Raw genomic sequence first — 14,211 nt, 5'->3', positions numbered from 1 at the left:
AGAGCCAAACAACATCTAGAAGTCCTGAGCAGGTTTTTAGTAGCCAAGTCTCCTAGTGGCTTTACAGTCTCGACAGGTCACTGTAATGCCAGATCCTTTGTGTCCACCAATACCAGCAATACAAGTAACATGAGAGACCAATTGAATAGGAAAAACCAAGTAAAGGAAAGTAATTCTTGATTTTGACCTCAAACTTCATGGAGTGAGTACTTCCATCACAGAGGTCAAAACATGATTTTGAAATCCAAGTCGGTACAGATGCTATGCCTATATGCACCAGTGACATGTTCCTTGGTGCTATTATTAGTGTTGAACCACTGAAGGGAGTCGAATCACCTCCAGCTTCAAACAAGTTGGGAATTCATTAACTGTGTGATTTAAGTCTCCTCGTTTCGAGTATATACCTTGTCTATAGCCAACACTCCACTAGGGTAACTTAAAACAAAATAGTAATTTATTTACAATAGCAAAGATGTCAAAAATAACAGGAACAATATATAACAAATCCAAGATTTTTATGAAAAAGGCAAACAGTATATACACGAAACAAAAGATGAAACAAAATCCATAGGGTAAACTTAATTTGACCTTAGCTAAACAGTTACAGAATGTGGCAAAATGGTTATGATTTATTTAAGTAACCCTGGGCCAATTAAACACACACACACACACACACAATCTTTTTCAACCCTTCTCTTTTAAATGCTGAATCTTCCTCTCAACTCAGTTTACCTTTGAAGAATGTAACCATGGGAGGCCACACGAGATTTAGGAAGTGCAGGCTATTTACATGTGCGCTAAAGGCATACTTGTTGACTTGGCAGGCTCACACTTTTAAAACAGCAAATGGAAGGTATAAACTGTCTGGGGTCCTATTTTTCTCTCACTGTTCATTTCTGATTTTTTGTGATAATTTCTTTCTTATCTACCACACAAAATGCTGAACCAGTCATCTTTTAGGTTCCTCAAGTGCTCTAAAAGTGTTTCCCAAGTTTGAACAGGCATCAGAATCACTTGGAGAACATGTTAAAACAAAGACTGCTGGGTCCCACGCCAGTTTCCCAATTCAGTAGGACTAGGGTGGGGCTGAGAATTTGCATTTTTAACAAAGTCCCAGGAGATTAAGATGCTGCCAATGCTGTCCGGCCATACTTTGAAAACCACTGCTCTGAAAGATTGCCCCTTTAAGATATTGATTAGCCATGTTTTTCCTTACATGAATGCTAGAATTTGTGGGAAATGAAATTATTAATACTGAGATTCCCAGAGAATACAAATACAGCAGCATGTTATCGGACTTGTTGGATCACAGACAGGTTAGGTGTCATTTGTTGGGTGTTCCATTACAAAAGTTTTTCAGCATGCTATGTATGGTTTTGTCTGATTTATGGCTCTGGACAGTGACATTCACCACATTCCCTTCGTCATTTACCTAAAATTTTAATTTATTGTTTCAACTATTAGGCAAACGTTTGTTCATACAGTTGGAAGAACTGCAGAATCTTGTCTATAAAATCAAAGATGGCACAACTCTATCTCTTTTGACTCCTGACATTTACTTAACTGCCGATTTTTAACTGTGGCAATGACCATTCCCTAGTATGTTAGCATCTACTAGTCCTCTAAACTGGGCGCAGTGGGGTAACTCGAGGGCATGATTTCTGTTGTGGAGGTGGTAACAGTCCCCACTGATTAAATATGCTGTAAATTAATACTGAAATGAACTTTAAGTGCTCTCAAAAACCACTTTATGCATGAGTAATTTATCTCAGGGGAATTGGAGATGCTAATAAAACAAATCCTTTATGAAGATAAAAGAAAAAATGAATTCCAAGGACATGCTCATCAAAGGACTCACCAATCACCTCTTAACTTCTCTGAAATATTACTTGCAAATTCACAGAACTGAAATATTACCAGTATTTGCATCCGAGTCACAAAATTCAAAGCAATCAAGCACTTTGCATTCCACTGCTGTGAAAAAGAAATTAAGAAATGGGGGGATGAAAATAATCCACTGCTTTTGATGTTTATTAGGTTTACAAAAACTGTACATTTTTTTTCCTTGAGAAAAAGCATTAACTTAGTACTGGTATCAAATAGACTAAACATTCAATAACAGGAAAATATTCTGATTTTTATTTTTGCACGTTATTCTCAAGTACACAATTACAATAATGTCACACATCCCTATATGATTTTCTTTTTATGTATTTTACTTTCTTTACAAAGTGTACAGAGGGAGGGACATACAATATTTAATAGGATATTTCTACAGAACAATAACTTATATTATGTCCTTGTAAAAATCTGTACCTCTTTAAAACATTTAACTGAAACATCCATTTTTTTTTAGCTTTGCTAATCAAAATTGTTTTAAGAATTAAAACTAGGTTGTAACTAATGTCAGTACATAACAGTGACTACAATTTCATTTTCTCTTTATACAGACAAGTATGTTTTATCATATTCACTTGACCAAACCCTTAAATACCTTTTAAAGGTTTTAATGTTGTGCTTTAAAAAGAACTGTGTATGATTCCGGAGTATGTAAGAGAAATATAAAATGTGTGAAGTGTTGTGTTCTTTATCTTTCAGTTTATTTAAAAAAATATAGTTAAATGACCCAATCATTTATATTTTCTGTATTAATTTTATAGGATTTAAAATTAATACATTTCCACTTTCATTTAAGTGTTTTTACATTATTTCTGGGAAAATAAAAATTAAGGGAGATTTTAAAGGTTCTCACAAAAAAACAGACAGAGCTTTCAAGAATCGCAGGGCAATGAATCACGGATCACAAAATTGTAAGTTAGTTTAAAAAAAAAAAAAAAAAAAAAACACATTATGGGGGCCAAGAAGGTACAGGAATTTCCTATAAGATAGGCTAGGAAAACCCATGCCTTGACTTTGACTGGCATTTGGGCTGGAGTTCACACCTGCCTAAAGCACTTGGTTTAAAACTAGACTAAATCAGTCTAGCACTTCAGAGGTTTGCCAAACACCAAATATTTTGATTTCTAACCCTAAAAATATAACTCTTGAATACAAACATCAATGGCAAAGAGAAAGATGAAAGGTAAAAACCTAAGCACACAGGGGATGGAGCACCATAATGAGGTGACAAGGCAGCTATCGGGTGGGAAGACAATTTCTAAATCTCCTACAATGTGCTAGATGCATACGGACCAATAGCCAACTGAAGGGACCCCAAAAACTGTTTTCTGTTCTCCCAGATTCGTCTTAACATAACCAAGTTCTAATTAACCGAGTTTGTTTTATGAATGTATGACACTGATTCAGACCTATGTGGTGTCTGGGCACGGTGGCTCACGCCTGTAAACCCAGCACTATGGAAGGCCGAGGCAGGTGGATCACGAGGTCAGGGTTCAAGACCAGCCTGGCCAAGATGGTGAAACCCCATCTCTATTAAAAATACAAAAAATTAGCCGGGCGTGGTGGTGGGCGCCTGTAATCCCAGCTACTCGAGAGGCTGAGGCAGATAATTGCTTGAACCCAGGAAGCAGAGGTTGCAGTGAGCTGCAGAGGTTGCAGTGATCACACCACTGCAGTCCAGCCTGGGCAACAGAGCAAGACTCCGTCTTAAGAAAAAAAAACAACAAAAAAAAACAAACAAACAAAAAACCTGTGGAAGACTTAGTGATGTTCCAAATAAGGCCTCAGACTTTCCTTATCCACTTAAAACACATCTTTACCTTTTAATCAAAGCCAACTTGAGTGTTAAGTTTTTAAAGTTTGCTAACTGTAACTGAGAAATAACAGATCAGCCTGAACTTGCCGAGTGTGAAGTCATAATTAGCACCCGTTCTCTGGTCCACAGAGCCATCACTTCTTTTCCATCCCCCTCACTAGGTAAGACAGAGTTCCCTCTCAGGCTTCTCAAAGAGAACTGTGGGAGTCATGTCTGGATACTCATTTGCTTTTCAGAAAAACATAAAGACATGGAGGTGAAATTGTATGAAAACATTCTACCTAGAAACATCTTAACCTCTATGTTTCAATTACCAAAGATATTTAAAAGAAAATATCTTTACTCTTTAAAAATACTAGTGTCCTTATTTTCCTTCTAATTCTTCACCTGAGTAGTCTCTCTGAAGAGCATGACTTACAAAATGCTCTCTCATGCATCCCTGGATCTTTCATGTTATTGTAAATTTAATACTTTTCATTATAGATTTTAAACAACTACTACTTGGGGTTGTGTGTATAAATATGTAAAATAAGCAATACACACAGGTACATGATATATATGTGTATATATATAATTCAGGGTACATTTACATACATAAAGTTGCAAAAGATCCTATAAGCCATGAGTTACCTCTAGGAGATTCCAAAATGCAGTCCTCAGTAAGTGTCATTTGTAGCACACAACCATTCCAAGATGAAGCCGCACAGACAGAATAATCAAAATACAACATGAGCAAGCACAGTTTTTCAATAAGGTTTTCTAAAAGTTTGCTACGCTGACAAAAGATGTAAATAATCCAAAGAAAGCCAAAAGAAGTATATTTGAAAAGTAAACACGAACCCAGCCACTGCTCTTTACTCAGCAAAGCCAGGGACGCAACAGCTCAAATGGAAACTTTCACTGTCAAGTGGTCTGAAAATATTAAGCAAGACAAGTAAATGACTTCCATGTTATGATAATTAGACCTGACTGTAAAATCTCCCATTTATATTAGTAGATGTCTCTGACAATTTTATTGTGAGAAATGTATGGGGAAAAAAATGAGTCAACATGAATACTTTCAGAGTTACCAATATAAAGTTACCTTAAGTTAATGGTCTTAGAAGAGTACCATCAAGGTAAGCAAGGTAAATATTTAAATAAATATAAAATTCTAAGATATAAAACTTCGGTATAGAATCAGGGATTACTTTATTAAAAGTAACTAGCATGTTGCCAGTTTTCCCTATTTATTAAACAAACTGAATAGAATTCAGAACACACTACTGAGCAAAATGTATATTTAAAAAAAAGTCAACTAGAAGTAATAATTCTATTTGTACACAGCATAAATCAATATACAGTATTGTATGTGAATGAGACTGATTGGCTTTAAAATGAATTTTCTGCTTCAAGGCCAATATCTCTACAAACGTTCTGTAGAAGTATTGTTAGGGCAGGCCAACTTCTTTATGATGTCGCATTATGTGCTGGTTCTTTTCTGAAGGTCTTCGGAAGCCTTTCTTGCAGTACTCACACCGGTGAGGATAGTCTTTCGTGTGAATGGAAATAACGTGCCGTTTAAAGCCTGAGGCATCTGTAGTGCTATACTCACAGTACTCACACTGATACACTTTCCTGCCACTGTGTGTCTTCATATGCTTTTTAAGCTCACTCTGTTGCCTAAATCCCTTTCTACATCTCTTGCACCTAAATGGAAGATCCTTTGTGTGAACTGAGAGAATATGGCGACTTAGAACAAATGGATCTGCAATCTTAAAGTCACAATGTCTACACTGGTGCATTTTTTTGCCCTTGTGGGCAGCCACGTGTTTCTTGAGTTCTGAAGGCCTGTGAAAGCCTTTATCACACATGTCACACTTATGGGGGTAGTCTTTCGTGTGAACTGAAATTATGTGTCGTTTCAAATCACTTGAGTTCGAACTCTTGTGGTCGCAATGCAAACACTGGTGTGTTTTGCTTTCTTGGTGGATAAGAGCATGTTGCTGCACCTCTTTGGTATCCGAGAAAGTCAGAAGACAAATGTCACACTTGAATGGCATCTCTTTACTATGCTTAGTTTTGACATGCGTTTTCAAGTTAGAAGAGTCTGCAGACCTATATTCGCAGTACTGGCATTGGTACGGCTTCTCCCCAGTATGGATTCTCATGTGCTTTTTGAGCTCTGACGGGTGACGAAAACCCTTACCACACTCCACACAAATATGAGGAAAGTTCTTGCTGTGGACTGCCAAGAGGTGGCGATTCAATAACCCTTGTTCAGCTGTCTCGTATTCACAGAATTTACACTTGTGCATTTTGTTGGCTCCTTTTTCCTTATGCACCATTTTGTGAGTAAACAAAGCCCCTGCATGAGAGAAATGCTTCCCACACTCATCGCATTCAATGGCCTTCTCTGCCTTGCTGGTCAGCTTGTGGCTCTCCAGGTGGTTGTGTAAACTTATCTTCTTGTTGGTAGTGTAATCACAGTCAGTACAGCGGTATTTCTTCTTGGCAAGGTGTTCGGGATGGTTTTTCATGTGCCTTTTCAAAAAACCTCTCGACTTAAACTTCTTCCCACAAATCATGCAAGGATAGACAGTCAAAGGATGTCCATCAGGGCCAATAATTATTGCTAAAAAAGGAAAAGAAAGGAGTATGAGTGCTCAAACCAAGTTCTGTTCCAGTTTCTTTGCGAATATAAAGTGTGGGTTCTGACCACTGTTGGCCAAGGACTCCTAAATTGGACTATTTGCTGCTTAACATTCCTTTTACTGTTTTTCAACACAAGAGATATAGCAACCTAGTCATAGAGAAAATGGTCTGGAAACTTCCTTCATGAAGACTGTACCGCCTTCACTCCCTCTAGTTTAATAAAATTAATGAATATGTAACTTTTATCAATTAGTGATTAAACCTACAGCAATTTAGAAATTGGTGGAAAATTGGCTGGGCACGGTGGCTCACGCCTGTAATCCCAGCACTTTCGGAAGCCGAGGCAGGCAGATCACCTGAACTCAGGAATTCGAGACCACCCTGACCAACATAACATGCTGAAAACCCGCCTCTACTAAAAATATGAAAATTAGTGGGGCACAGTGGCACACATCTGTAATCCTAGCCGCTTGGAAGGTTGAGGCAGGAGAACCACCTGTACCCAGGGGGCAGAGGTTGCAGTGTGAGTTGAGATCACGCCACTGCACTCCAGCCTGGGCAAGAGAGCAAGATTCTGCCTCAAAAAAAAATAAGTAAATAAACTGGTGGAAAATTATTCATAAAAATAAACTTTGGTGACAAAAATTTCCACTGTTTATTCCAAAAAACATAACTTACGTTAACTTACAGCAAAGTTTAAATATACCCATAAAATTTTTAATACGCAAATCATCATACAAGAATAGGAATGTCATATGAACTAAAGTACTTATCCTGCTGCTCTGTAAATTATGCCTGCTTTATGCTGACATAGATTCTCTAAATGTATTAATTTATTTAAAAAGTTAATGCTTATAACATATTTGAGGGATTTCATTCCATGTACACATAAAAATCATCCAAGTTTTCAATTTTTCTCATCCATGTTTCAGCCATGTCCTGTTTCTTTTTATCCAAGGAAATCATTCATGAATATCACTGAATTCTGAAAATTATATTTTCAAGTTCAATAGACAAAGCTATATATGGTCTAGCAGCTAAAATGCCATTGTGACACCCCTGTGGATACATACTAGAGTTTCCTCTGAGAGCTCGCAGAGCACGCTGCGCCATGGAACTCGTGCGCCCTCACCTGTTTGGTACTGCCTGGAATCAGGTCTTCTCCTTTTCTTTGGTTTTTGTTTAGCCAGTCTGCCGAGGCCAGCAGACTCATCTATGTGCAAGAGGGCACTTGCAGTGCCATTCCGGTTTTCAATTCCATCAGAATTATTACCTAACAATGTGTATTAAAAAACAAAATTATACAGTATTATAAATTTTAAAGAATTAGGAATTCTTCATTAACTACAACAACGAAAAGTAAGCCATGATACTCATGAATGACAGAAATTCCCCATTCTAGGTCATGGGTTTTATGAGCACATTTATTATCGCGAGACCGTAGGAAACGCCTAGCTTCCAAAGCTAAAAAACACATGTCAGCATTTTTGCGCCATGGACTCCCTTGTTGTCTCCCAAAATGAAAAAGTCATGGGCCAAACATAATCAAGATGAAAACTTTCAGCCTGAAAGCCTGTGTACTTCTTGCAGTACTTCCTTCTACATAATATACACATGAAGGAAATTCCTGTTAAAAATAAAGACAAAAAGTAGACTTTATACTCTAATTCAATTCAAATAATCCTTACAGGATACTGGTATTTCAGACTTCTGAAACCTAAGACCACAGAAACCATTTTTCAATCATGGATTCATGTTTAAGAACCAACTTCTTCAATGCTAAGAGCTGCTGGGCAACTTACCATAAGCTGCTGCCCATGCAATCGGCATGAAGGTTTTGATTTCATTGTCATCCATTTGCTGCTCGTGCACGGCGGCGGCTGCCGCTGCTGCTGCAGCATCCTCCTCTCCTACGATCACTTCCATATAAACTTCGTCAGCGATTTCAGCAACATCTAAGTAGAAAGTTACAAAAACTTCTGTGACCAGGTTTACAGAGATCACAGGAAACACGTTTTTATTTGAATTCAGTTAATAGACAAAATGGAAAGATGGTCCAAATATTACATACCTAGAACATAGCTTTCACGTAGTAAGCACTCAATACATATTTGTTGAATGAATCATTTACTTCTTGGCTTTCACCATAACTTGGTTTTAAAGCAACATCATAAGCATATATAAAAGAGTCAAAGATGTTTCCCTTGGAATGTAGTAGCATAATAATCTCTAAAATAATGCTACTTATTTCAAACACTGGCCACTTAAAAGCTCCAGAAACATAAAATTTTCTCCCACAAAAAGGCCACCTACTTACTTAAATCTTCATCTTCTGGCTGAGAGTCATTGACAGTCATATAAACCATCTTTTCCCTGGGAACACGAATACTGCTGTTCTGATCAAGCAGTTCAACTCCATGATCATTCTCAGGCTCACTCTCCACAATGTCTACAGTTCCACCTATCAATCAGGGAAGAAGACAGCTTCAATAATTTATTTGAAAACTGCATTTCCACCTATTTCTTTTTACATAATTTTCTTATTACTTTTTACAAACTTTGGTATTACTACACCGGAATTCTTACATAAAAGTTACTTCAGAAGAGACTCCAAATGTTCTCAATCTAAATAACCCAAAAGTAATCAGGCTGAAACATTTGGATGAGGATGTATAATGTCTAAACACTTCTTCTTACCTAAGTCATCTTCTCCAGGGTCAGCTTTAAAAATGTACACCTTGATGACCTCAGGGCAAGTGCCATCCACTTTACAAGGATCAATTTCCGACTCTGTGTCCATGGTCATTCCAGAAGAACCATCGTGTTCTATTTTGCCAGCATCATCCACTAAAAAGGAAGGAAATAAATCACAAATAGTAACAGATATTTAAATAAAATGTTACTATTCGCAAAAAAAAAAAAAAAAATTTTTTTTTTTGAGACGGAGTCTCACTGTCACCCAGGCTGGAGTGCAGTGGCGCGATCTCAGCTCACTGACTGCAACCTCCGCCTCCCAGGTTCAAGCCATTCTCCTGCCTCAGCCTCCCGAGGAGCTGGGACTACAGGCGCCTACCACCACGCCCGGCTAATTTTTTGTATTTTTAGTAGAGACAGGGTTTCACCATTTTAGCCAGGATGATCTCGATCTCCTGACCTCGTGATCTGCCCACCTCAGCCTCCCAAAGTGCTGGGTTACAGGTGTGAGCCACTGCGCCCGGCAAAAGTTCTTTTACAAATATAATCTCTAACTTGATTCACATAAAATTGGATTTTACCTAGACAACTAGAAGATTCAATAAATACATTTCTAAAGACTTCTAAAAACAGAATCAGATATTAAAGCAAAAAATACTATACATAGAGAAAACTCCTGGTAGCCTAGAAAACTGTAAATACAAAAGAATATACTTAACAGCCTTTGCTAAGCCATAAGGTAAAAGCACTCTTATATTAAAGATCTTCTAATACTAAAACCTTAAAAGAACCAGCCAGGTGCAGTGGATCATGCCTGTAATCCCAGCACTTTGGGAGGCCAAGGTGGGTGGATCACTTGAGACCAGGAGTTTGAGACCAGGCTGGGCACCATGGCAAGACCCCCATCTCTACCAAAAAAAAAAAAAATACACACACACACACACACACACACACACACACACACACACACACACACACGCCAGGCATGGTGGCATGCGCCTGTAGTCCCAGCTACTCAGGAGGCTGAGGTGGGAGGATCACATGAGCCTGGGAGGTGAAGGTTACAGCCTGGGTTACAGAGTGAGACCCTGTCTCAAAACAACAACAAAAAAACTTAGAAGAATGTCCTAGAAGTAAAATCAAGAAATAGTCTTCATATAAATATTTTATAAGCAGTACTTCGTGGTCACTATTCTTGAATATCACTTGATATGATCTATTTGCAATAGAATAATACATTTGAAAATAATCAAAACATGATTGCCAGAAAGGTACACCACAATGAGATTGGTCAATGGAAATTCAGCTTCAATCTGCTTAAATGTAAATATGCATAACATACACACACAACTTTAGTTTATGACAATAATGAGTCTAGGTCCTTGCTGGCAAATGCAGCAATACGTGAATTTAAACATATTCTCATATACCCATTGCTCTCATTAATGAAGGTATAATAGCCTGTATGTGTTAAAAAATGAACAAACAGAGAGAGACAGAAGGGGAGAAAAAGAGGAAAAAAATTTAAAAAAAAAAGAGGTACATATGATTTCCAATAGTAGAGACTCAGGGGATATACAACAAACATCACATTTATTTATTTTTATATTTTATTTTATTTTTATTTATTTATTTTGAAACAGAGTCTCTGTCATCCAGGCTGGAGTGCAGTGGCACAATCTTGGCTCATTCTGCTTCCTGGGTTCAAGCGACTCTCCTGCCTCAGTCTCCCAAGAAGCTGGGATTACAGATGCCCGCCACCACACCCAGCTAATTTTTGTATTTTTAGTAGAGACAGGTTTCGCCATGTTGGTCAGGCTGGTCTCAAATTCCTGACCTCAAGTGATCCACCCACCTCGGCCTCCCAAAGTGCTGGGATTATAGGCGTGAGCCACCACGCCCAGCCAAACATCACATTTTTTAAAACTTTACAAAGTAGCCAAGAAAATAAGTGTCCTGTTATTCACAGGACCTGGAAAATAAAGCTGCAAAAAATGGTGTCTTCAAATAACAGACTCTGGATTTGAATAAATACCAAAAGCATAATCCCCATATAATGTAGCCTTACATTACATGTCACTTATGGACACTCACTGCTATGTCTAGCTCAACAAAAAGTGTGGCAAAGACTAATGAAAAGTTAGCACCCAATACAATTTAATTTATCACAAAAAGTTGGGTTTTTTCAATGTTGAGTCCATTAGTGAAACACTGAAGGAATGTTCTCTCTGCTCTAGGCCCAGCTGGCCTATCTGACATGGTGGAAGACCAACTAGAGGGGAGCAGGACCGAGGCCCAGAAAAGAAGGCTCATTGAGCTTGTCTGTAATACCTGCAACAACAAGCCTTTTCATTTCCCCTTTGCCCTTTTAGTTCCCTTTCTGGTGTTCCTCTGCTAGACATATCTGTTTTCCTTTTGGATGGACATTGTTTTATTCAGTTCAACAAACAGTGAATCACAACTACATTAGACTCTAGGCAGGTATTGGAGATGCAAATATGAAAAAGTCAAGGGCTCCAGAAATTTACAGTCTTATGGCAAAGTGGACAAGTAAACAGGTGAGTATTTTTAAATGTAGTAATAATAATGCAGCTACCATTTACTAAGTGATTATGGTAAGTACTACTTAATACCTACAACAACCCTGTGAGGCAGGTGGTACAATATTCTCTACATTTCACAGCAAAGCAAACTGAAGTTTAGAGAGGTTGAGTAACTTATCTGGAGTCACGCAATTCAGATCTCAAGCTACGTTAGTCCCAATCAGGGCTCGTCAACTTCTGGAATATGGAGCATGGGGTTTAAATTGGTAGAGGCAACTGTGATTTTTGAAAAATCAGAAAATAGTGTAACTATCTAAACATGCTTTCTTTTCGTGAAAAACAAATGAATGTGCTCATGACTCAGGCAGGCATAATCAGTATTGCAACCAAGGCTAGGTGGTGGTGGTTCTGACCACTATAACTTTTAAAATTCACAGTCATCCCTTGTGTAATTTACACCAGTTATACCAAGACAGAACTCAGATTCTGACGTCTTTGAAATGATACTTCTGCAAAGTTCTGTCGTGATCTCCATCAGATCCAAAAACTGTGTTTACCTAATCAAAATTCTTACACAGAACATCAAGATGAATCTAATATCTCAAAAGCCAACATTAAAAAGCAAAAATACAGTGACAATTTGTCAACTTAACTTCTGACTTACTGAGAATCAAGACCATCCACATCCCAAATTACTTGCAAAGAAAAGCTTGAAAATGGCAGCCCCAAACCTTTGTCATTTACAAACATAAAAATTATAAAATTTAATCAGCTTGTTTCAAATGCAAAGTTCAAGATTCCCAAACTCTGGGTCACTGAAAGCAGTTGTTGTTTTGGTCTATTTTTGATATCACTAATCAACAAACTACATTTTAATATACCTTCAGTTTCAAAACCAAACAAGTCACTTAAAAATGCACTTGTTGATAAATTATACTTTTTCCTACATAAATTGAAATGAAGGTCATTTATGAGAAAAAAGCAAAAGCTTATTTATGTATATTGTAAGATGACATTAATGTTGAACCCTCTAATGCAATCTTTAATAAACTGATACAGAAAATGAGAGGATGAGAGTCTGAAATGACTGGCAAATATCACTGTGCACTGATCGCTGCCATGGGAACAAAGGAAAGATACCTCACTCAGGTGAAGAGAAAGAGAGGGGACAAATGAAGGGAGACACAAAACGGCGTGATGGTAAGGGAATGCATGGTTCAATATTGCTGGAATGTGAGGGTAAAGGGTGGCACAGGACATGGCAGGAAATGCAGCCGACTGCTAAGCTGAAGCCAGGTCATGAAGGGCCTCATGCACAGGCAGAAGGGCTCCGACTTTATCCTTGCAGGCCAAGGGTTTCTCAATCTGGTCAGGTGTCAAAATCTCTTAGGGAATTTAAAAACAAAGCATCCAGTCCAGCAGCTCTACAGAATTAGAATCTGCAGCGCTGGGACCCGCTATATAGAGACAGATTTAGGGGCGCCCTGCCTCTGGGACTCTGATGAGAGGCTGGAGAACATCTGCTGCAGGACTGGGAGACTTTCACACGGAGCAGTGACTAAGTCAGGTGCCCGTTTTTGCTGGCCTTGGAAAGGTAGATCCAATGAGATCAAAGCATGGAGCTGACCTGAGTCTACTGCAGTAATGCAGGTGATAGATGACGAGGCCTTGAATCAGGACGGAGGTAGTACAACTGGCGGAGTGGGCTGGATTTGAGGCCTATCTTGGGACTGAAATGAGTAGAACTTGGTGTCTGACTGAAAACCCAACATGACGAAGAAGCCAAGGATAACTGGGTTTAAATTTAGGTGACTGAGTGACTGGGGTAAGAAATGTGAGAGAAATGAGGAAAAGGATCTCTCTTCCTGCATGTTTGATTAACTTAAGGTCCTAAGAATAACGTCCTGAAAAGCCCTAAGAACCAGTGATTGTCACTATTGCTTTGTGCTCACGGCACCCTTTGCTTGCTTCTCTTGGAATATGTGATTCACTGTGTGGCCACTGTCTGGTTTTTCTCCCCGTCTTTCCCATTGACACAGCAGAACCTGTATTTTCATTACTCAGTCTTTTAAGACCCAGTCTGGTGATGGTAGATGATCAGAATATTGATGAATCAACGATTCACTGAATGAATGAGATGTGAAGCCAGCTGCTTAATATTCAAGTCTGAAATTGGAAGGCTGACACACTTTGGGGAGCCCTCAACTGTGTTAACTAAGCTTTGCCATCATGCAGTGAGAATCTGCAGTGTGAGGACAGAGTCCTGGGGAATGCCACAGTTGAAGGGAGGGGCAAGAGTAGTTCATAAACCAGAGAAGGGAAAGCTGGAGAGGGCAGTAGAAGGGCATGAAGGAAGCTAGGGAGTTAAAAGATGCAGGAACCCTAGTAAGGCCCATGGCAATAATGCAGCACCACACAAGAAGGAACGTGGAGGAGGAATGTCCACCGTAGTAGCATGAGGTCGCTGATGTTCTTGGTTAAAATCAGTGGAGTGAAGGCTGTAGGGGGTCAGACTAGAGTGGGCTGAGGAGTCAATGGAACATGTGAATTTCTTCAAGTATGTAAAAAGGCAAACAAAAGGACAATAACTAGAATGGGTTGCAGAGTCAAGGACTTTTCCGTTTA

General features: G+C 38.7%; 1 protein-coding gene across 52 annotated transcripts in view; it reads right to left on the bottom strand.

Annotated features, from left to right (window-relative positions):
* ZFX (zinc finger protein X-linked) overlaps positions 267-14,211 on the bottom strand; it is a 67,274-nt gene continuing 53,329 nt past the window's right edge. For 46 of the 52 annotated variants that reach the window (XM_011545581.3, XM_047442439.1, XM_047442450.1 and 43 more), the window contains 5 exons: positions 9,047-9,196; positions 8,667-8,810; positions 8,152-8,304; positions 7,482-7,622; positions 267-6,329 (listed from right to left, as the gene is read on the bottom strand). In XM_011545581.3, coding sequence (XP_011543883.1) covers positions 5,146-6,329; positions 7,482-7,622; positions 8,152-8,304; positions 8,667-8,810; positions 9,047-9,196 — 1,772 coding nt within the window. In that variant the 3' untranslated portion in view covers positions 267-5,145. Of the gene's footprint in view, positions 6,330-7,422; positions 7,623-8,151; positions 8,305-8,666; positions 8,811-9,046; positions 9,197-14,211 lie in introns of all 52 variants that reach the window. The other 6 variants (XM_017029799.2, XM_047442460.1, XM_047442458.1 and 3 more) reach the window with 2 other exon arrangements.

This window comes from Homo sapiens, chromosome X (genome assembly GCF_000001405.40).
Source record: "Homo sapiens chromosome X, GRCh38.p14 Primary Assembly".
NCBI lineage: Eukaryota > Metazoa > Chordata > Mammalia > Primates > Hominidae > Homo > Homo sapiens.
Note: the sequence above shows the minus strand (reverse complement) of the source record. Positions and strands in the feature narration are given on the sequence as shown.